Source organism: Homo sapiens, chromosome 7 (genome assembly GCF_000001405.40).
Source record: "Homo sapiens chromosome 7, GRCh38.p14 Primary Assembly".
NCBI classification, from domain to species: Eukaryota; Metazoa; Chordata; class Mammalia; order Primates; family Hominidae; genus Homo; species Homo sapiens.
Genome location: NC_000007.14, coordinates 108112316 through 108134184, shown reverse-complemented (window position 1 = coordinate 108134184; position 21869 = coordinate 108112316). Strand labels below are relative to the sequence as shown.

At 39.6% G+C, this 21869-nt stretch overlaps 1 protein-coding gene across 12 annotated transcripts in view; it reads left to right on the top strand.

Moving 5' to 3' along the window:
• Window positions 1–3823: 3823 nt before the first annotated feature.
• LAMB4 (laminin subunit beta 4) overlaps window positions 3824–21869 on the top strand; it is a 118700-nt gene continuing 100654 nt past the window's right edge. For 10 of the 12 annotated variants that reach the window (XR_927421.2, XR_927422.2, XM_011515975.2 and 7 more), the window contains exons 1-3: window positions 3824–3879; window positions 10988–11054; window positions 18024–18181. Coding sequence is in view for 10 of the 12 variants with exons in the window: in XM_011515975.2 (XP_011514277.1) it covers window positions 11021–11054; window positions 18024–18181 (192 nt within the window). In the remaining 2 variants the exon portion in view is untranslated. The remainder of the gene's footprint in view (window positions 3880–10987; window positions 11055–18023; window positions 18182–21869) is intronic. The other 2 variants (NM_001318046.2, NM_001318048.2) reach the window with 1 other exon arrangement.

Sequence of the window (21869 nt, the reverse complement as noted above, 5' to 3'; positions counted from 1 at the left end):
TGGGAGGATTGGTTCTGCCATTTGATACCTGAGACTGGCCCCCAACAACCTGATCTTTACTACTCTACTTCCCCTGCTTTCTTGCTATTTCAGTTCATCTCGGGGGAATTAAAAGAAATGTTGATATCTGTGTGATGATAGGCAAGTTACTTAACTTCTTTGTGCCTCAGTTTCCTCATTTATAAAATGAGAATAATTTAGTGTCTACCTCACAGGTTGATGAGGGGATTAAATTATTTAGTACAACTTATTCTCTTACAAAACATTCCCATTCCCCCAGATTCACTGAAATCTTCAAGAGTGCTAGTGTGACTATGCCACAAAGCTACCACGCCAAACAACAAAAGAAACATGGCGTCCACTGTGGGCTGTTACAGTGAGGTGGCCGTGGACTAATGTGTGGCTTTAGCTGAGTCATTTAACTCTCTAGATTTTCATTTTTTCTCAAGGACAAAGAGAACTATAATTATCTCTAAAGTCCTAGCTGGGTCTCACACTGTAAGACTGGTTAATTTTTGCTTAGAAATGACACAGCTTTTGGCCGGGCGCGCTGGCTCACGCCTGTAATCCCAGCACTTCGGGAGGCCGAGGCAGGCAGATCACGAGGTCAGGAGATCAAGACCATCCTGGCTAACACGGTGAAACCCCGTTTCTACTAAAAAAATACAAAAAAATTAGCCGGGCATGGTAGCGTGTGCCTGTAGTTCCAGCTACTCGGGAGGCTGGGGCAGGAGAATGGCGTGAACCTGGGAGGCGGAGCTTGCAGTGAGCCGGGATCGCGCCACTGCACTCCAGCCTGGGCGACAGAGTGGGACTCCATCTCAAAGAAAAAGAAAGAAAGAAAGAAATGACACAGCTTTTACACATTTATCAACAACTGTAAAATTTGGTACATTTTAACACTTACCTATAAATGTTGCAATGTATTTTTAGATTGTTGCAGGGATTATAAGAACAATCAATGGACCTGAGTCTCCTCTCCTCCTCTCTCCTAAATGCCCTGCGAGCTCCATCTACCTCAGTCTCTGTAATTAGAGCACGCCAAGGCAGATTCTGAGGTGGAAGATGCCAGGATAACCTCAGGCCCAGGCCACTGCAGGCTGGATGGGTCTTCCTGTTAGGGGAAGAACTGGGAGAGTTGGTTATAAGAGAAGCCAAATGGTAAGTCCATTGGGGTTCTCTCCAGGTGCCAATGAGCCCTCTGTCTGGGGTCACTCTGAGACAATACAAAGGGGGTTGACAAGGGTTCTGTCAGGGAGGGTTTTGCCACTTCCTCGCTGCCTGAGGGCGTTGTAGGCAGTCCGCTCCCTTCTGTCCTTTCAGAGCTTTGGCAGAGTACGTCAGCTGCCTCAAGCCCTGGGATCTTAGCTTCATTCAGGTTCACTGAATCTAATTAAAGGCTGATTAGCTGTTTCAAGGTTTTCTGTGACTGAGTAATCCTCCACACTTCCTGTCAGGACTTGCAAGCCTCGCTGTGCCCAGTGAAGACTCCTTAGCCCTCATGGAATCCCGACTGTGGGCAAGTCTTTTTAGGAACAACCTCCTCAGCCCTGCAGTTAGGTGGGCCACCGCGCGGGAATGACGGGCAAGGCCACAGCGAGAGAAGGCTCACCAAGCAGTTCTGGTTGAGATGAGGCTGCGCCAGGAATTTCTTCCCAGGCTGACTTCTGAGGAAATACCTCGTCTTAAGGAAGAGATGAAATATTCACCTCTCTCACATTTAACTTTAGTTCAACCGAAGGCATTAACATGTATACTTGCAACAAATGAATTCTGATAGGTCAATTTTACCTAATGGAATCTGTTGGTTTTTAAGGTTCTGTGACTGAAGAAATAGAGACTAAAGAAAAATTACAGGCGTATATAGACTAAAGAAAAGAACCAGAGAATGAGGAGGAGGGATCTGGAAAGATAGTTACCAAAAAATTTGAGGCTTTCAAGGATTTTTACTTTCTTTTTCCTTTGAATTTTTATATTGTCCGATTTTGGGTAAAAGAGCATATACTACTCTCCAGGAAAAGCAATAAAGCTATTTTCCTTTTAATAAAAAAGATATCAACACTTTAAGGAGAGCTATACTGAAAGACTGCTTCTGATTAACTGATAGACTGATCTTTTAGTTGCATGGGAAAATTATTTTTCTTGAAAATATATCCTGCCTGACAGCTTCTAACTCTACACCTAATCTTAAGAGGTAAATAGTTAACTCATTGAGATGAAAGCAGATACCCCAAGACATGCCATCAGTTTACAGGAAAACAGCCTACGATAACCTATTCATGATTATTTAAAGGGAAATTTTTGAAATTTGAACCATGTAACTTTGATTCTCGTCATAAAACTGGAGACACATATAACAGGAAAACCCCTCAAGATATAATCAAATCACTCAAGAATGCAACAAGCTTTTAAAATTTACATATCTCAAAAGGCAAAAAAGACAATATGAAATTCCAATGTTTGAAATAAGTTTAAAAATTATATAAATTTTAATGCCTAGAGTTTATGCTTTGCACAATAATTTAAGAGTCTAAAGGGAAAATAGTATTGGTCTAATAAAACAGATCACAAACCCGTCAATTGAACAAACTGAAAGTCCCTTGATTTCACTCACACACTTTGCTGAAGTATCCACCTAAAAACCAAATACTGCTCTTTGGTCTCCTACCACCTGGTACTTTGTGGCAGCTGTTGGCTTGTAAAAAATAAATAAAACAAGTTAGTTTAGCAAATATTGACTGCAAGCTTCTTCTATACTTCATCCTAAAATGGAAAAGACATGTTCCTGCCCTCTTGGAGTTTGCTTTCTAGTACATCAGAAGTGAGCAGATGAACCTGACCTATAGGGAACAAAATTAAAAACAGTGGCATCGATGGAAAAATAGAGCAATAAATTAAAACACAAATAACAGGTAAGAAGCATTGAAAAATACCCTTGAAAAAGCTTAAAGGCCTGTAAGAGTGGTATTTGGTGAAAGTTTGTTGAATCTATTTCCTGATTTGTAAATGTTGTGTAAAAATGAGCATCTCATTTTGGCTCAGTTCACAATCATTTTTCTTCCCTAAGGGTATTTTCCATGAGCTTCTAGAAATCCTAAATGTTTTTTCAAGCAACCAATAAACTTACCCATTGAAACTGCACAGATTTGAAATGGAGATATTAATCCACTGACAAGTGAATAAAATGTAAGATTGCTGTAGGTTCATTTCTATACTATAAACCTTCCTCGTAGGAGAATGAAATTTCAAACCACATGGATTCCAAAACCACTTAAACTTGCCATTCCCACAATGGTTAGTTGTACTTGCCGAATCACAAGGTAAACAGAAATCTATGAGCCATTTAAGATGATCTTGAGCCAGGTAGGACTGGTCAGAGCCTTGGGAACCCATCTGAAACTATTCCACCTGGTCCGCCTGAAAGTAGATTGGGATGGAGTCAGGGGTCTCACATTCCTGAGAAACAAGCCCATCTAATTCCGCACATTTTATAGCTGGTAAGTATCAAGCTGTCTGAAAATGACCGCTAAAACATGAACCAGAAAAACATAAATAAATCAGGGAACAAAATGTCTGTGCATTATTCCTGGCTATTAAAATTGGTTTTAGAGAAAACAAGAAAAATATTTGCTGTAAAACTGAGCTCTATTTCCCTGTTTATGTGTGTGTGTGGGTGTGTGTGTGTGTATAAGTTAAAACTTAAGTGACTTCACAAATCACCTTTTTGACAGGCATTGGAATACCTCTTGTCTTTTTTTTTCCCTACTTTTAGGTGCCTCGGGGAGAATGTTTTCTACATAAACTGGCTCTAACTTTCAGGTGTGTCTTCACATGCCCCGTTTGCTGCCTGAACCTCTCCACAAAGACTCCCAGATCCTGGTAAGTCTTGCCTGCTCTCTCACTAGCAAATTGGCATTTTTATGGATTAAATGAAGGTATTAGAATTTAGGGGGTAAGTGGAGTTGTCATAAAGTAAGAAATGGGACATATTAGCACATAGATTACTATTACTTTTACAGAATGATAGTCCAATGACACTTAAATAAAGGTTCTTGCAACATAAAACAGTATCCAATGGGAAAATTGATGTTAGTGCATTGTGATATGAAGCCAACAACTTGAGCCTTACTGTACCTTGAAGGGAGCTTCAAATGATGTAGTGTTGAAATGTACAACTGTATTGTGTTTTCAGCAAATGTTTGTTTTTGTTATGGTTATAAAACTTATGACAACTTATAAAAGTTTAAATGCATTAGAACTACCCATATTTTCAAAATATTTTGTTAATGTTCTAGATATGTGTAAATATTGTTTTAAGAAAAGCAAGTCTGCTATAACTAAAAGAAACATAAACTTGGCCGGGCATGGTGGCTCATGCCTGTAATCCCAGCCCTCTGGGAGGCCGAGGCAGGCAAATTGCTTGAGCTCAGGAGGTCAAGACCAGCCTGAGCAACATGGCGAAACCCCATCTCTGTAAAAACTATACAGCCGTAGTGGCACATGCCTGTAATCCCAGCTACTCAGGAGGTTGAGATGGAAGGACTGCTTAAGCATGGGAGGTTGAGGTTGCAGTGAACCAAGAATGTGCCACTGTACTACAGCCTGGGTGACAGAGGAAGACTCTGTCTCCAAAAAAAAAAAAAAAGTAAACTTTATAGTTCTGTATTCTGCATTCCTCACTATGATGAAATTTAGGCAAAACAGTTGAAATATCTAATGAGTCCTGACATAACATGAAAAAAAGTTAGACAAAGGAAAGTTAAATACAAGATTTCTGAGAACTGTCACTTTATAGACAATTATTTGTGTACCAGAAAAAGTCTTAAGGGCTAATATAAATGTATTTATAATTATCTTCTGTGTTATAAATTACTGTCCAATTTGCAGAAGAAAGGTGCTGTAGTAGAAACAGGAGCGGAATGCATGTCTTTCCTGCGGAGAGGCTCTTATCAAACACGATGCACCTGTGGTTCTAGGAGCTGGGCAAATGGGCACCACATGGCCCTTTTCTCTTCATCTGTTTCATCCAAATTGTTTTGACAAAAAAGAGTAAACTCTTTGCAGCCTTCAAGTGAGAGCAGATGAGGCAAATATAAGTGAATGGTCAGTAAATTAAATAAATTAGCAATGCCAGAAAGTTACTTTCAGTCTAATATATTTCACTGTTTATTGCAACACTTAATACATTTTAAGACCAGTGTCATCTAGCAGCATTCATTAAACGGCTACCAAAATGCACCCAGCGCCTTTGGAAATACGTTTATACATATCTCATCCAAAGGAGGGAAAATGTTTTGTTTATTACTCCTAATCACTTTTACATATATTACTAAAACTCACTGATGAATTTAACAAGAAAAGAGTGCCATGTAGCCCCTGAGAGGCTTTCCAATGTCAGCTCTGGTAAACCAACCCGAAAAGCAGTACCAATTAAACTTATAGTTTGACGAAGGAAGGCATGCACAGGGTTACCACATTTTCTGATATTGCGCTGTATGTGCAGCTGTGGGTTTTATAATGACTGGATAGGTGATTTCAGATAACAGAACTTCTAGAAGTTGCCAGATTCATTATAATACTTATCTAGTTTGGAGCTTAGCTCTCCTAAAATGGGAAATAGAAAATGGGGAGGAAGACTAGAGGTGAGTGATTTTGGGAAATAAGGGCTGAGATGATAAGGCCCATAGCTAAGGGCACTGAAGCCACTGAGAAAGTTTCTCAAGCTCAGCGCTGTTGATATTTTAGGATGCTTAATTCTATGTTGTAGGGCCCAGAAATATTGTAGAATATTTACTTAGCAGCACCCCTGGCCTCTACACACTCAATGCCAGTAGCGTCTGTCATGCCAGAACCCTATTGACTTCAGTAGGGATGGCACCATGTTTGAGAGGCCAAAGAAGGGACTTGGAGTCAGCGAACAAGACATAGGGTTTATTGAAGGGGACTTATACACAGGGCAGACCCATGGCTGTATGTAAGGCTGCACTGGAGAACCGCTCCTGCTTGTAAAAGTCATGCAGTTCATACAGCATTTTCACTGAGCACCCTCCCTCTAACAACCTCCACCTGGCAACCTTTGTTTACAACAAAACAAAGGACCTCGATCCCCTGTATCGACCGTGTTCCATAGAATGGGCCAGGGGTTCAGATGTTCCTGATAGATAAGGAATGAATCTTCAGGTTGGCTACTCCCGGATTCCTTAGCTTGGAACTCTAAACACACATTCCTTTTAGACCACAGGTCTTTCTCAGGGTCTGCTTAAGTTATTGCTTTCAGGTGTGTCTGCCATACAGCATCTTCCTCTCATTATGACAGCCAAAAATGTCTGCAAACATTGCCAAATGTCCTGTACTCACCCCAACACGACAGCCTGCAGAGTCTTACTACTGAGGAGCCATCAGTCTTTGGAGTGCAAAGACTTGGGAGTTGCTTAGGGCAGTGGTTCTCAAACTTGAGCGTTCATCAGACTCACCTGGAGGGCACGTGGCAGCATGCTGGGCCCCATCCCAGAGTCTGTGAATCAGTAGGTCCCTGGCTGGGCCCTGATCATTGGCATTTCCACATGATGTTGATGCTGCTCATCTGGTAGGGTGACCAACCATGTAAGTTTGCCTGGTTCTGAGAGAGATTGCCGAACCTGGGGATTTGCAATGAGAATATCAGAAAAGTCCCAGGCAAACTAGGATGAATTGGTTATCTTATTAAGTCCATGGACTACGCTTGGAGAACCACTGTTTAAGGAGATAAGATCAAATAGGCTTGATGAGAAGAATTTAGATTTGAAGGGTAAGAAAAGGAGGAATCAAAGGTAACCCTCAAGTTTCTAGTCTGAGACAGTTGGTCCATGGTTATGCAGTGGGTCTCAAATTTTGCTGCCCATTGGACTCACCTGGAATCTTTAAAAATACTGATGTCGGGGCCTTAACCCCAGATATTGTGGTGTAATTGGTATGGAATGTGACCCGGGAAGCAGGATTCAAAAAAAAAAAAAAAACACAAAAAAAAAAACCCTGGTGATTTTAATGTGCAGTAAAGTTTGGAAAGCACTGGGTTATGCCCTTCTCTTAGAAGGGAATCCAGGAGCAGAGCAAGTGTGAGGGGCAAATTAATCCGTTTTAGGTATTGGCAAGCCATCAGTGGTTCTCAACCCTGGCTACATCTCAGAATCCCCTAGGGAGTGTTTTATACACATTGACACCTGGGTCCCACCCCAGAGATTCTGCCTTAATTAGTTTGAGGTGGGCCTGAGCACTGGTAGTTTAATATCTCCTCAGGTGCATACAATGGTATATTATTCAGCCTTAAAAAGGAAAGAAGGCCGGGCGCGGTGGCTCACGCCTGTAATCCCAGCACTTTGGGAGGCCGAGGCGGGTGGATCATGAGGTCAGGAGATCGAGACCATCCTGGCTAACAAGGTGAAACCCCGTCTCTACTAAAAATACAAAAAAAAAATTAGTCGGGCGCGGTGGCGGGCGCCTGTAGTCCCAGCTACTCGGGAGGCTGAGGCAGGAGAATGGCGTGAACCCGGGAAGCGGAGCTTGCAGTGAGCCGAGATTGCGCCACTGCAGTCCGCAGTCCGGCCTGGGCGACAGAGCGAGACTCCGTCTCAAAAAAAAAAAAAAAAAAAAAGAAAGAAATTCTGACACATCCTACAACATGGATGAACCTTTAGGACATTATGCTACGTGAAATAGGCCAGTCACAAAAAAGACAAATATTGTGCGATTCTACATATGTTAGATACTTAGAGTAGTCAAATCCATAGAGACAGAAAGTAGAACGGTGGCTGCCAGGGGCTCGGGGAGACATGAAGACTTCTTGTTTAATGGATACAAAGTTTCAACTTTGCAAGATGAAAAGTGTTCTGGAGATCGGTTGCACACAATGTAAATGTAATTAACACTACTGAAGTGTACAGGTAAAAATGATTAAGATGGTCAATTTTATGTAGGTGTATTTCTACCACAATTAAAAATAAATATTTCAAAAAGGAAGTCATTAAAAATATCTTCTCAAGTGATTCTCAGTTGCATTCAGGGCTGTGGCCTGCTGATCTAACAGAATTATTGGCAAGCTGTGTGATTCTGTCATTTATCTCTTCACATAGCAACTGTGATAATCCTTAACCAATTATCAATAAGGAAATTGTATCTCTTCTAGTTCAATTTGGGATCTGTTTCTGACTCCTCCTGCTGCTCCTTTGGGGCAGGTCATTTTTAAACCTGGCTGATGTACACTGGGAAGTCCAGTAGTCTTTGTACCATGACCTTTATTGTTGCTTGAAGAGAATTCCCATATGGACTGAAGAAATTTTCAGCAGGTCATTTTTATCATAGAAATGTGGTGAACTGTGATACTGAGGAAGCTTTGTTCCCCCAAATGCTCTGCAAAAGGCATTCCGCTTGTTCTTTTACTCCTGCGTTCAGCATTACAGTTCCACCTCCTGTCTTTCTAAATCTGAGTCCTGGGAATTCGGCAGTCTGCCTCACTCCCACCTGTCCGATGTAGGAAAAGATTAGCCCATCATTTGTAGCTGGAAACAGTCTTTTGCTTTGGACTCTGCCCTGTGAATAGGTTCTCCACTGGAGAGAAGCAGGAATGCCATGATATATCCTATGTAGCACTTTACCCCAGCAACTCAGAGCCTAGATCATTACAAGCCATGAATCGTAGGCTATTCACAGAGATTGTCATCTCACTGAATTCAGTTTCTTTGGTTATAGAGAATCATACTTTCAAACTTTGCTAATAATGCCCATTCTTATTAAATGCCCATAATGCCAATCATTTTGCATTTCCAGACAGAATGAAGCACACGGGCAGTTCTAAATACAGGACAGCATCAGGATTAGATATTTCATTTATCAGAAGTATATCTGGGCGGCTGAACAGAAGCCAAGCTCCTGACTTGCCTGTGAGAAAAAAGCAGTAAGAAAGTACCACCTAGAAAAGTGCCTGTGCAGGTTCGGGTGGCCTATACAGAATGGACCTTCCTATAGCTGTAACCTGGATTCTCCTATAGGTCTTCACAAGGTTTTGTATGAGGCCATTAGCCCAAGATTGCAGACTTTTCCAACAGGTAGAGCTCATTCTGATGGAGCTACTATGGGAGGACTGTTTCTCAGTGAGTCACTTTCCAGCATTGGACTTCCAAAGTGAACCCTAGGCTTCATAAAGAGCCTGAATCACAGAATGGGATATTTGCCTAAAATCAGGCATTGCAAAACACCCTAAAAAGACTTCATAGGGAGGCTGACATTTGGGCTTAGGAGGGTGACATTCAAGGCAAAGGAAACAGCGTGCAAAGAAGGTTCAGAAAACAGAAACTGGAGTGCTAAGGCTGGAGCGCAGGGACTGTGCATGTGCAGGGACTGGGAATATGGGAGTAGGAGGGTAACGGATTCACAAGGAAAAGCCTCGAAGGTAGAATGTGAAAAAATAGTCTCACTTGAAAATACGTGAAAGAGGTTTTATATTTCCTACTATTCAAATAAATTATAATGAGGTTGTTTTTTTTTTGCCTTTTAAACTGACAGATATTTAAAAATAATACTCCATGTTGGTAAGGGCTCATGTTAGCAGTGCTCACAGTCTGGTTATAAGAGTGTAAATTGGAACAAACTTTCTGCATGGTAGTTTGACAGTGACATCAAAAGCTTTATACACACATATACATATGTATATTTGTATATATGCATGTGTGTGTATGTGTATATATATACAATCTTTATATACATATATGGTTATATGCACACACACATATACTCTTTGGCTCATTATTTCTGCTCCATTTACTATATCATAGTGAATAAGGCTATAAACAAAGATTTAGCAGAAATATTTATAATAGGAAAATATTATAAACCAAGTACACATCAACCAATAGAGAATTCATTAAATCAATTCTAGTTTCTACATTCAGACTAATACTATGCAGTAATTAAAAATACTGTTGTCCATCTTACAACACAATGAGATTCCATCTCTACAAAAAATAAAAATTAGCTGGGTATGCTGGCACATGCCTATAGTCTCTGCTACTGGGGAGGCTGAGGTGGGAGAATCAGCTTGAATCCAGGAGGCTGAGGCTGCACTGGTCCACCATTGCACCACTGTACTCCAGCCTGGGCAACAGAGTGAGACACTGTCTTAAAAAAAGGAAAAAAAAAAACCATTACAAATTTTACCTTCTTTTCTCCAGACCCACTGAAGTGTATATGTACTCCACTCTGGATCAGAACTCTCTTCAATGGTAACTTGGGGATGGAGGGAAGCCTCTCTCTCAAGGGCCATGGCCAAATCTACAAAGAAGAAAATCACAAGTTTGCTTTATAGGAGACTCCAGGTGATCTTAATCTTGATAAAATATCACTAATTAAAAGTGCATTTGTTAGTACAGAAAGATGCCTGGAATGTATTGATCGAAATAAGAAAACAGTGTGATAATACTTTTGAAAATTATTTGTGCAAGGAAAAAGTATGGAAGAAAAGGCTCTTGAGAGAGGGGCCTCCCTCCATCCCCAGTGTCTTGCTCTGTTGCCCACGCTGGAGTGCAGTGGTGCAATCATGGCCCACTGCGGGTGGTATTATAGGTGATATTTTTCTTCATTTTGCCTGTCTGAATATTCTACTTTTTCTATAATAAGTATGTATTAACTGTGTAATTTTTAGAAGAAAAAGTTTCTAAATAAGAATGGGCAAAAAGTAGGTTAAAATTAAAATATGCAAAGGAAATTATATTTGTTTCCTCTTATTTCCCACAAACAATTGAATTCTGTGATTTCAAAAAATGGCAAACATTAAGAGCAAACAAATATTTGTTAAAATGTTTATGCACTCTTATTTTTTGAGGATCTGGACAGTGTGGTTATTTCGTATGTCTAAAGCATAAGAACCATTCGATAACCCTAAGCACTTTTACATAACATGTGATGATGGCAATTATTTCTTCTATCAGTGATTGACTTTAACCTTTTTTTAACCCAGTAGAATTGAATTTAATCATCTCCTGACAAAAGAATGCAATTTCAACTGACCCTTTTTTTGCACCTTGGTGAGTATTTGTTGTCAAAATCTATTTACTGCTTGCGCTGTCCTAAAATATTTAATGGAAATAGTTTTTAAACATATTCACTTCTGTCTTCTATAGTGCTGTATGCTTATGTAGCTATTCTGTTGTTGTTGTGTAATTGTGTCAAGCAACTGAAAAATTCCACTCCAACATGTTTAGTATCCACATATAGCTATTTCTATCACTTTTTAATGGAATGTTATCTTCAGATAAGTAAAATATTAAAGAACAGAGAATAGTTTCAGTGTCTTAATTTACAAATACAATGCATCTAATTTTTTTAATAGCTGTGCTTTCAATGTAACACTTTTCCCAGCAATGAGGTCTTGTGAAGAAGTTACAGGCAAAATTCCCTCTTCTAAGTAAGCAGCAGCTCTAAGCTAAAAGGCCAAATTCTCCATGCTCCTGCTGTCTTTAATAAGCTGAGAACAATTTACATTAATCATAGAGAAGATGTTTCCAACAATTACTCTCTTTGATCTGACTTTTCTACATCGAAAACAGGCCTGCTTTTGGTTACTGATTACTAACTAAATTGCTTAGAATCTTCACTTCAAAGATTTATGCTGAATTTCTTCATGACAACAAACCTTCAGAATCTCACCTTTTTCTTTTTCTTCACAATTTTCCAACCCTGAGGTAATTTTCCAGTTAGATTTGCTGGTAATAGTCCAGATGGTAAGCACTCATTTGTTCTCTGTTGAAAATCCCCTGCCTTGGAGAGGTGAGCCACAGCCCAGTGGGAACAGAAACTTGTCATTCATCTGGAGCCCTCAGTTCATCCTCCACATCCCAGGACTGGTCTCATTCAGAAAAACAGTTATTTTAACCTGCACCTGCCTTACATGTTCTCTTTGAAACTAAACCAATATCCAAAATCAGAAGGGACCACTGAGGATCACTCTACCTTCTCCCCAGCCTTTGTATAGAATATCTTACTTACATCTTGCAAAAGTTCTAAACCGATCCACAGTTGCTGAGAGAGCCCTCCTCAATTAGGGGACTCCTCTCTCTGGAGAAGCAATCTTCTAAACTAAATTAGCTTGGGCAGAAAAGACCTCACTGCAATCAATCGTACATTTCTAAATATAAGCTTGCCCTGACCTTAACCAAACCTCTTGAGTTGCCATGGTCAAACTCCCAAGCAGGTTAGCTACATATCATCAGCTTGGGAATTTTCCCATTGATAGTTTGAACATAGACACTTACATAAATACTGCAGCCTATTTAAACACTTAGTTTTATCTTCTGACTGAGCAATATAAGGAGAAATAATCATAAAAAGTGCACTGCCCCATAGGTTTTAGGAACTTCACTAAAAGTGCAAACCTTATCTACATGCGTTCTTTTTTTTTTTTTTTTAAGACAGAGTTTCATTCTTGTCGCCCAGGCTGGAGTGCAATGGTGCGATCTCAGCTCACTGCAACCTCCACCTCCTGGGTTCAAGCAATTCTCCTGCCTCAGCCTCCCGAGTAGCTGGGATTACAGGTGCTCCCACCATGCCCAGCTAATTTTTTGTATTTTTAGTAGAGACAGGGTTTCACCATGTTGGCCAGGCTGGTCTTGAACTCCTGACCTCAGGTGAAACACCCACCTCGGCCTCCCAAAGTGCTGGGATTACAGGTGTGAGCCACCGTGCCAGGCCGCATTCTTGGTATTTTTTCTCACCCATTATAATCTGCATGAACGTATAAACATGTGTTTACATCCTCTAAAGCTCTGATGTGAACTCTAAAGTGTGAGAAAGCATCTCATGTGTTTGAGAAAATTATGACAACATGCAGAAATACTAGAGAAATTATATAGTAACAGTAATTTCTATAAAACAATTCTTTACAGAAAATTTACTGTATATTTTCCTTAAATGACCAGATCTCCTAAATTCATTTTGGAATTTCATAACATTCTTAAAGTTCATAACATTCTATCTTCAGGTTCTATCTTCAGGTTGCGTCATCTTTTAGGAACGTGTTGATTGTCAAAAGACATAAACATGTTTATTTTCTGAATTAATTCCAACCCGTTGCTAATGTGATTTGGCATTTGGAAACTTCATCCCAGGAAGGATATTGCTTAGTCTATGTTCAGGCATGAAACTTTAACTATTTACATTTCTAGTCACTTTTTGCCAAATATTTTAGACAAGAAGTTCATATTTGCACTTATAATGTTACAGGAATAATAGTTAAATTTCCCTAAGTCCTGGAATATATTTTCTGAAAAAAAAATTCTGACAAAAACAAGTTTGGCCAAGTCAGGTTATAAAAACATGTTAAATCTCTAAGGCAACAATTCCAATTAAAAAAAAATCCAGGATGGAACTTGTCTAAAAGTATAAATCCCTGGAAGGGAAGTCTTCTTTTATTCACATGTAACATCAACGGAAATGTTATACCTGATATTGTCCTTAAAAATCTTTGGTCTATTGGAGTCCAAACTTCTGAATAGCTATTTATCCTAGATACCAATTCCGGAAAACAAGCAAACAAACAAAATATGAATGTGGGTTGCTGGTTAAATAAAAGTCCGCATTAACCATTTATTATACCACAAAACAGCAAGTGTCCAATGGAGCTAGCTTTCTTCACATAGCTATCTCAGAAGAGAAAGAAATGTGCCCTTGTTTTAGAATAATAATCTTTACATTGAGATTGAGAATAGAAAATTTCCTGTTCAAAGTGTCATTTAGTAACTTGTGTGGGTGGAGACATTATCATGTTCTTAGCTGTAGAACTTATGATCCATGTCTGTTACATGCCTAATAATACAAAATGACTAGATTAATAGTTCATGTGAATAATGTTTAAGTAAGAGAAATAACACGTTTTTTTCAATAACCATATAGGCTATTTTGGAGGTCAAATCGAAGGAAAGAAAGCCATTAAATGTAAAACAAGTTCATGAAAAGATTATTATATTTTTTAAATGGAGAAAACTGAAAAGAAACCAAGCTGATTTCACTGTATGGTTATTATTTTTTATTATAGGCCCATCCCTGTCACTCCTGTCTACTGAAATAAGGCTTGGCACAAATTTTCATGTCTCAAGGATAAAGTGTATAAGAGCAGCTAGAACATGTCACATGTGTATTTTTAGAGTCTGGGATTTGCTTGGTTTACCATCCAGAGGTTGATGGGGGTTGGGGATTGTTTGTCTCTTTTACTTTTTATTTTGAAATAATTGTAAGGTCACACACAGCTGTAAGAAATAACACAGAGAGAGACCATATACCCCTTCACCCAATTTCTCTCAGTCATAGCATCTTATATAATTATAGCACGATATCACAACCAGGAAATCAACACTGATGTCATTCACAGGCCTTATTCAGATTTCACCAGTTATACATGTACTCATGTGTGCGTGTATTTGAGTCTATGCCATTTTATCACCATATAGATTTATGTGCCCATCACCACAGTCAAGATACAGAACAGTTCCACCACCTCAAGGATCCCTAGTACTACCCTTTTATAGCCACATCCACCTCCCTCCCCCTCTGCCTTCCTAACCACTGACAACCACTAATCTGTTCTCTATCTCTATAATTTTGTCATTCAGTAATGTGATACAAATAGAATTATGCAGTACATAACCTTTTTTCACTCCGCACAATTCCTTTCAGATCCATCCAAGTTGTTGCTTGTATCAATGGTTCACTACTTTTTTTTGCTAGGTTCCATGGTACAGATGTACCACACTTGGTTTAACCCTTCACCCAGTGAAGGACATTGGGTGTTTCCAGTTTTTTATTATTACAGATAAAGATGCTGTGGACATTTGTATAGGGTTTTTGTGTGAACATAAGTTGTAATTTCTCTGCGATAAATACTCAAGAGTTCCCTTGCTGAGTTGCTTGATCAGTACCTGCTTAGTTTTGTAAGAAATTACCATATTCTTCCTAGGAGTGCCTATACCATTCTTCATTCCCACCAGCAGGGTATGCGGGATCTTCACATCCTTTCTAGCATCTGGTGTTATCACTATTTTTATCTTTGCTATTCTGATTGGTGTGTAGTGATATCTCAATGTGATTTGATTTGCATTTCCCCAGTGGCTAATGATGTTGAACCTCTTTTCATGTGTTTATTTGCCATCTGTGTATCTTCTTCACTGAAGTGTTCTGTTCATGTCACTTGCCATTTGCTCATTTGATTGGCTTTTTTAATGTTGAGTTTTGAAAGCTCTTATTAAATTGTAAGTACAAGAGCTTTGTTGGATATATGGTTTGCAAGTATTTTCTCTTACTCCATAGTTTACCTTTTCACTTCTTCATAAGGTCTTTCTCAGAGCAAAAGTTTTTAATTTTGACACGGTCCAATTTTCTAAATTCTCCTTTTATGGATCATGGTTTTTTTTTTGGCAATTCTAAAAATTATTCACCTAGCCCTAAATGCCAGATTTTCTCCTATGTTTTATATGAGTTTCATAGCTCTATAGTTTCACATTTTACATTTAAGTCTATGCTGAATTTTTAATTAATATTAATATAAGGTGTGAGGTTTTGCTTGCAGTTCATTTTTTCTTTTTCTTTTTTTGGCTATGGATCCAATTGCTCCAGCACCATTTATTGAAAAGGCTGTTCTTCCTCCATTGAGTTGCATTTGCACCTCAAAAATCAGTAGGACATATTTTTATTGGTCTATTTCTGGGTTCTCTATTCTGTTCCATTGATCTAGGTGTCTTTTCCTCTGCCAAAATCGCAGTCTGTTCTTTATTATAGCTATATAGTAAGCCTTCATATTGAATAGAGCTATTCCTTCGCCTTTATTTTCTTTTTTCAAAATGTTTTAGCCATTCTAGGTCCTCTGCCCTTCCATCTAGAGGCTATTTTACATCTACAAAATTATCACTATCATTTTGAATTGCAATAAAGAGAAAACTAGAGCTTAGATTTGGCCTCCAGAATCAAACAGGATTCTAATGCTTTAATTGAATTAACAATAAAATAATATTGTCTTTTTCATATATAGTTTTTTAAAAGAAAAAAAACTATTTCTATAAGTGTCAGAGGCATGTGAACCAGAACAACTCCATCTTGAATAGGAGCTGGGTAAAATGAGGCTGAAACCTACTGGGCTGCATTCCCAGATGGTTAAGGCATTCTAAGTCACAGGATGAGATAGGAGGTCAGCACAAGATACAGGTCATAGAGACCTTGCTGGTAAAACAGGTTGCAGTAAAGAAGCCAGCCAAAACCCACCAAAGCCAAGATGGCCGCGACAGTGACCTCTGGTTGTCCTCACTGCTACACTCCCATCAGTGCCATGACAGTTAACAAATGTCATAGCAACATCAGGAAGTTACCCTATATGGTCTAAAAGGGGAAGACATGGGTAATCCACCCCTTGTTTAGAATATCATCGAGAAATAACTGTAAAAATGGGCAACCAGCAGCCCTTGGGGCTGCTCTGTCTATGGAGTAGCCATTCTCTTATTCCTTTACTTTCCTAATAAACTTGCTTTCACTTTACCGTATGGACTCGCCCTGAATTCTTTCTTGTGTGAGGTTCAAGAACCCTCACTTGGGGTCTGGGTCGGGACCCCTTTCCTGTAACATAAGTAGCTACCCACAAAATACAGTAGACACTCATTATATATATGTTTAACTTTGTGTGTTAACTTTAGATCTTAACCCCCAGTAAGATTCCACTTTGTTTTATTCAATCTTCCCAACAATTAACAAATCCATTAATAAATTATTGCTTACCAAAATGTATTAGATAACATGATGGAAAGAACTATTTCAGATGACCCTACTTGCCCCTCATGCCCGTATAGATGTTTAACAGTTATCTTAACTCGGAATGATTAGAATGCTTGCTCATTTGCATGTAGAGTTTCCTTTGTTTCCTTCTTTATCTAACTTGATAGTTCTCAAACGTTATGTTAGGATTTGTCTACACAAAACCATGTATGCTGTACTATATAGGTAATTTATGAAATTTTCCAGAATAATTTGATTATATGGGTTTATAACTTAATTCCTGAGATTTAACTTTAAATTCAATCTCTAAGTAAGACATGTTGACCTCCCCATTTCCAAAATGATAGGATTGTTTTTGGTGTTGCTTTTGAGATAGGGTCTTGCTCTGTCACTCAGGCTGGATTGCAATGGCACCATTATAGCTCACTATAGACTTGAATACCTGGGCTCAAGCAATCCTCCCGCCTCAGCTTCCTGAGTAGCTGGGACTACAAGCATGAACCACCATGCCTGGCTAATTTCTTTTCATTTTTTTGTGGAGATGGGAGTCTCACTATATTGAAGAAGCTGGTCTTGAGCTCCTGGCCTCACGCACTTCTCCCACCTCAGTCTCCCAAGTGCTGAGATGTACAGGCATGAGCCAGTGTGCCTGGCAAAATTCATAGGGTTTTTAAGACTGGAAGACACTTAAACAAAATTGAGTTTAGGATTTCCCAAGTGTTTTCCTAGTATTGCACAAAATGTTAACCTGATTTGAATAAAAAATGCCTTCCATGGTGAAATAAATTTGGGAAATGCTAGATTAAACAACATTAAAGAGTTTTGTTTTGTTCGTTTTAGTTTCATGGAAGCATCTCTTGGACTTTCATATGCGGGTGTCCATTGCAAATAAGAAAGGGATACAGAATGCAGTATCTTTCAAGTGTATTATTCTCGGTATCTCTTTTTGATGGAGAATCCTGCTGATATGGAGTTCAGTTCAACACATTTTAGAAGTATTTATTTTTAATCCAAATCTGTATTTTGAAATACAGATTTCAAAAGACTCAAAGAGGTATTACACCTCATGCCACCCAGCAAGCAAAGTAGGGACCATTTGTCATCTATTAATAAACTTAAAAGTCTGATACATCTTTGGCCAATATTAAATAAATACATAACTTTCCCCCTTAACCAGTCATTTCTGCAGGCCCTGTGCTGTCCTTAGACTGCCTTCCGTGTAAGCTATTTCTGTTGTGTTCAAGGGTGGCTCAGTTACTCAAAAGCTCAAGATGACTGCAACAGGGGTGCCTGTCATCCCACCACTGGTGATCTCCTGGTGGGCAGGAACACGCAGCTTATGGCTTCTTCTACCTGTGGGCTGAGCAGAGCCCAGAAATACTGCATCCTCAGTTACCTGGAGGTGGGTTGGCTCTTTGTTTATTTGCTGGGACATTATTTAATCAATGATGTAGATTTTTCCAGGTACACCTGGGGCTACTCAGACATTAAAGGAGACAACTTCCTTTTTAAACAATGGAGACACTGGTGCAGTTGTCCCTCAGTATCCACGGGGCGTTGGTGCCGGGACCCTTTCCCCCAACACCGAAATCCATGGATGCTCAAGTCCCTGATCTAAAATGGCATAGTATTTACATGTAACCTACCTATATCCTCCCATGTACTTTAAATAATCTCTAGATTACTTGTAATACCTAACATAATGTAAATGTTATGTAAATAATTATTACACTACATCTTAAAATGTGTTCTTTTTATTGTTATATTGTTAATCTTATTTTTATTTCATTAGGGACAGGGGTCTCACTCTGCTGCCCAGGCTGGAGTGTACCTCAGCCTCTGAAGCAGCTAAAAATACAGGCATGCACCACCACACCTGGCTAATTTTAATTTTGTCTTTTTAGAGACAGGGTCTCACTATGTTGCCCAGGCTGATCTCGAACTCCTTGCCTCAAGCGATCTTCCCACCTCAGCCTCCTGAGTTGCTGGGATTACAGGCTAAGCCACTGGGCCTACCCTGTTATTGTTTTATTGTTGTTATTTTTTCCCAAATATTTTCAATCCTTGGTTGGTTGAATCCACAAATATGGAACTTGCAGATGCAGAGAGCCAACTCTCATGTAATTCAAAGTCCAGGAAACCTTAACTGATCAAAAATAAGGAAGATTTGCTTAATTTCCATTTCCTGTTACCTTCAGAATGAGACATAAAAGTCTTTTTGGTTAGTCTTTGTAAGGAATTGCTATAAAATTTACTAGTCTACTTGGCTACCTTTGCCACTCCCATAGAGGAAACCTAATTGACTCATTTAATGAAGTTTGAAGATTCATCAGGGCCTGCTGCCATTATGCTGAACATGAGTCCTCATTGCTCTGCCTTGAGATGGAAGAGGTGTAGAACTTTGAATTGATTGTACACCAACATAATACTACTTGGAAGTTATACTGTCTAAAAATCATAAATTCCCAATGTGAACATAGTTTTGTGCCTTTTCCCCTTAAAGATCAGTTTTATAAAAGGATAAGTGGCTTTTCAGGTTTCTTTTCCTCTCCATGTACTGGGAACAGAACAAGCATCCAAGGTCATCTGAGTATCGTCCCTACCAAAAACCCTGAGGTAATCACGTCCACCCCATAAATGAGAGGATGTGCAGGAAGGAAGTTGGACATAAGCCTAATGTTAGTGGTCCAGGCTTTTCCATGTATTGTTCATTTAAAGCAACTGCTTAAGTCTCTGGGAAATGCTTTGTATTCAAATTGGTTTCTAGTAAAAGGTGACTATTATAAATAAGTGGAGACAATACTTGGGTGCATATCACTGTTCTAAGTTTGGGAAGTACTTGTGTAAGAAAGCAAATTCTCTGCATGTGCAAGGAAATTACATGGTGGAAGTTCTGCTCAACTCTAGGCCAGGTGACTACTAAGTCCAGGTGCTCTGGACAAAGAATTGGTTCTCAACTCTATTTTTTAGATAGGGTCTCGCTCTGTCACCCAGGCTGGCATGCAGTAGCATGATCACAGCTCACTGCAGCCCCAACCTCCCAGGCTCAGGTGATCTTCCCACCTCAGCTTCCCAAGTAGGGGAGGCTACTCCACCTACTGGTGGAGTAGGCAAGCACCACCATGCCCTGTTAATTTTTGGTATTTTTATAGAGACCAGTCCCACTATGTTGCCCAAGCTGGTCTCCAACTCTTGGGTTAAAGTGATCCGTCTGCCTCAGCCTCCCAAATGCTGGAATTACAGGCATGAGCCACCGCCACTTTCCAATATGAGCGCCAGCCATCTTGTTCTCCCACTGGCATTTGCTTACTGTTGCCTGAGCCAACATACTCTGATGATAATTAGAAATTGGTGTTCTTATATCTCAAAGTTATACCACCAAAAATAGAAGTAACTCCAACTGTGGAGGCTTCTTTTGTCTAGAGAATGACAGAAATCTTAGAAAGCTTAGAGCTGGAAAAAACCTCAAAATATTTCAGGCTGACAAAGTGTATTATAGAAGGGGCTACGACCACTGGTCTAGACAAACATTCACGCAGCATGGAGGATGATTTTTTCCCATCTGTTATCTAAGAAAGAGCTACCAAGCAAAACATTTTGTTCAGAAGCTTCCAGTCAACATTGACCTATTAAATTATCCAAGATGGAACTCACATTTAGTGGCCACAACTTAGCATCCTCTGAAGCCAACCTCATCAAAGATTATACTTCTAAAATGTTAACCAAAAAATGGTCCACAAGCCCTGAAGTTAAACATTTTCTCAAGTAATTTCCATAGTATTATTGGAAATTATTTGAAGACCATCACTTTTGATAGAATCACAAAGCTTCTACTGGTCACTGGGATGGGCCTACCCCTATGCAAAATTTATTTAGATCCATTTTGCCTTAATTTTCAAAAGGCATTTTGGCTTTCTTCAACAATAAGGCCTATAGTGACCAGTGATGCTAAGATACACTGATTATATGAATCTCTCGAAGGGTTGATTTGTTTTGACTGTAGCTGAAATAATCATTAAAATCATCCTGCATTTAATAAATTTTACTGAACATCTACTATGTACCACACACTATTCTAGGTAATGGAGATACAGCAATAAATAAAACCAGGTCCTTGCCCCATTCAGTTTTTATTCTTATTATAGAGACAGACAATAAACCAACAACTGTATAATATAGCCTCAAGTAGTGATAAGGGCTTAGGAAATATATAAAGCAGGACAAAAAATAGAGAGTGGCAGAGGGCCATGGGGGTGAAAAGATGGTGGCATTTTAATAGGGTAGTCAGGGAAAGGCTCTTTGAAATGAAGGCATTCTAACAGAAACCTGAAATAAGGGAAGGAGCAAGAGATAAGACTAGCTGGGAGGAAGAACAACTTGAACTCTTCTGACTCTAAGTGCTTAAAAAATAGCAAGAAGCATGTGTAGCCAGAGTCAAGAGAGTGAAAAGCCAAGTAGACATAAAGGCAAAGAGGTGGCCCTGGCCAGATCATGTTGGGCCTTGTGAGCCATGGCTAGGACATACAAGCAACGTGCACTGAGTGCCACCAGCTGAGCACCTATGCTGTTGTAGGCAATTTCCAGCACAGAAGGTTATAATGATCAGCCCCCGCTTCCCAGAAGCTTTGCAAAAGAGCTCCTTCAGAGTCCTCTGAGTATTAGCCAGGAATAACTGCAGGCCACTGACAGTGCTTTGGAAATCCTTACAGAGCCCCTTAGGAGTTTCAAGTATAGCTGCAAGTAGATGCATTAAATTAAGCAAACTCAAAGGCCAGCCTTTGCTGTTGTAACCTTCAAAAATCCATCCTAAGCAGGCTGGGGTCAGTGGCTCACACCTGTAATCTCATCACTTTCGGAGGCCAAGGCAGGCAGATCACTTGAGGCCAAGAGTTCAAGACCCAGCCTGCCAACATGGTGAAAACCTGTCTCTAATAAAAATACAAAAAAATAGCCGGGTGTGGTGGTGCATGCCTGTAATCCCAGCTCCTCAGGAGACTGAGGCATGAGAGTCTCTTGAACCCAGGAGATTGCAACACTGCACTCCAGCCTCAGTGACAGCATGAGACTCTGTCTCAAAAAAAAAAAAAAAT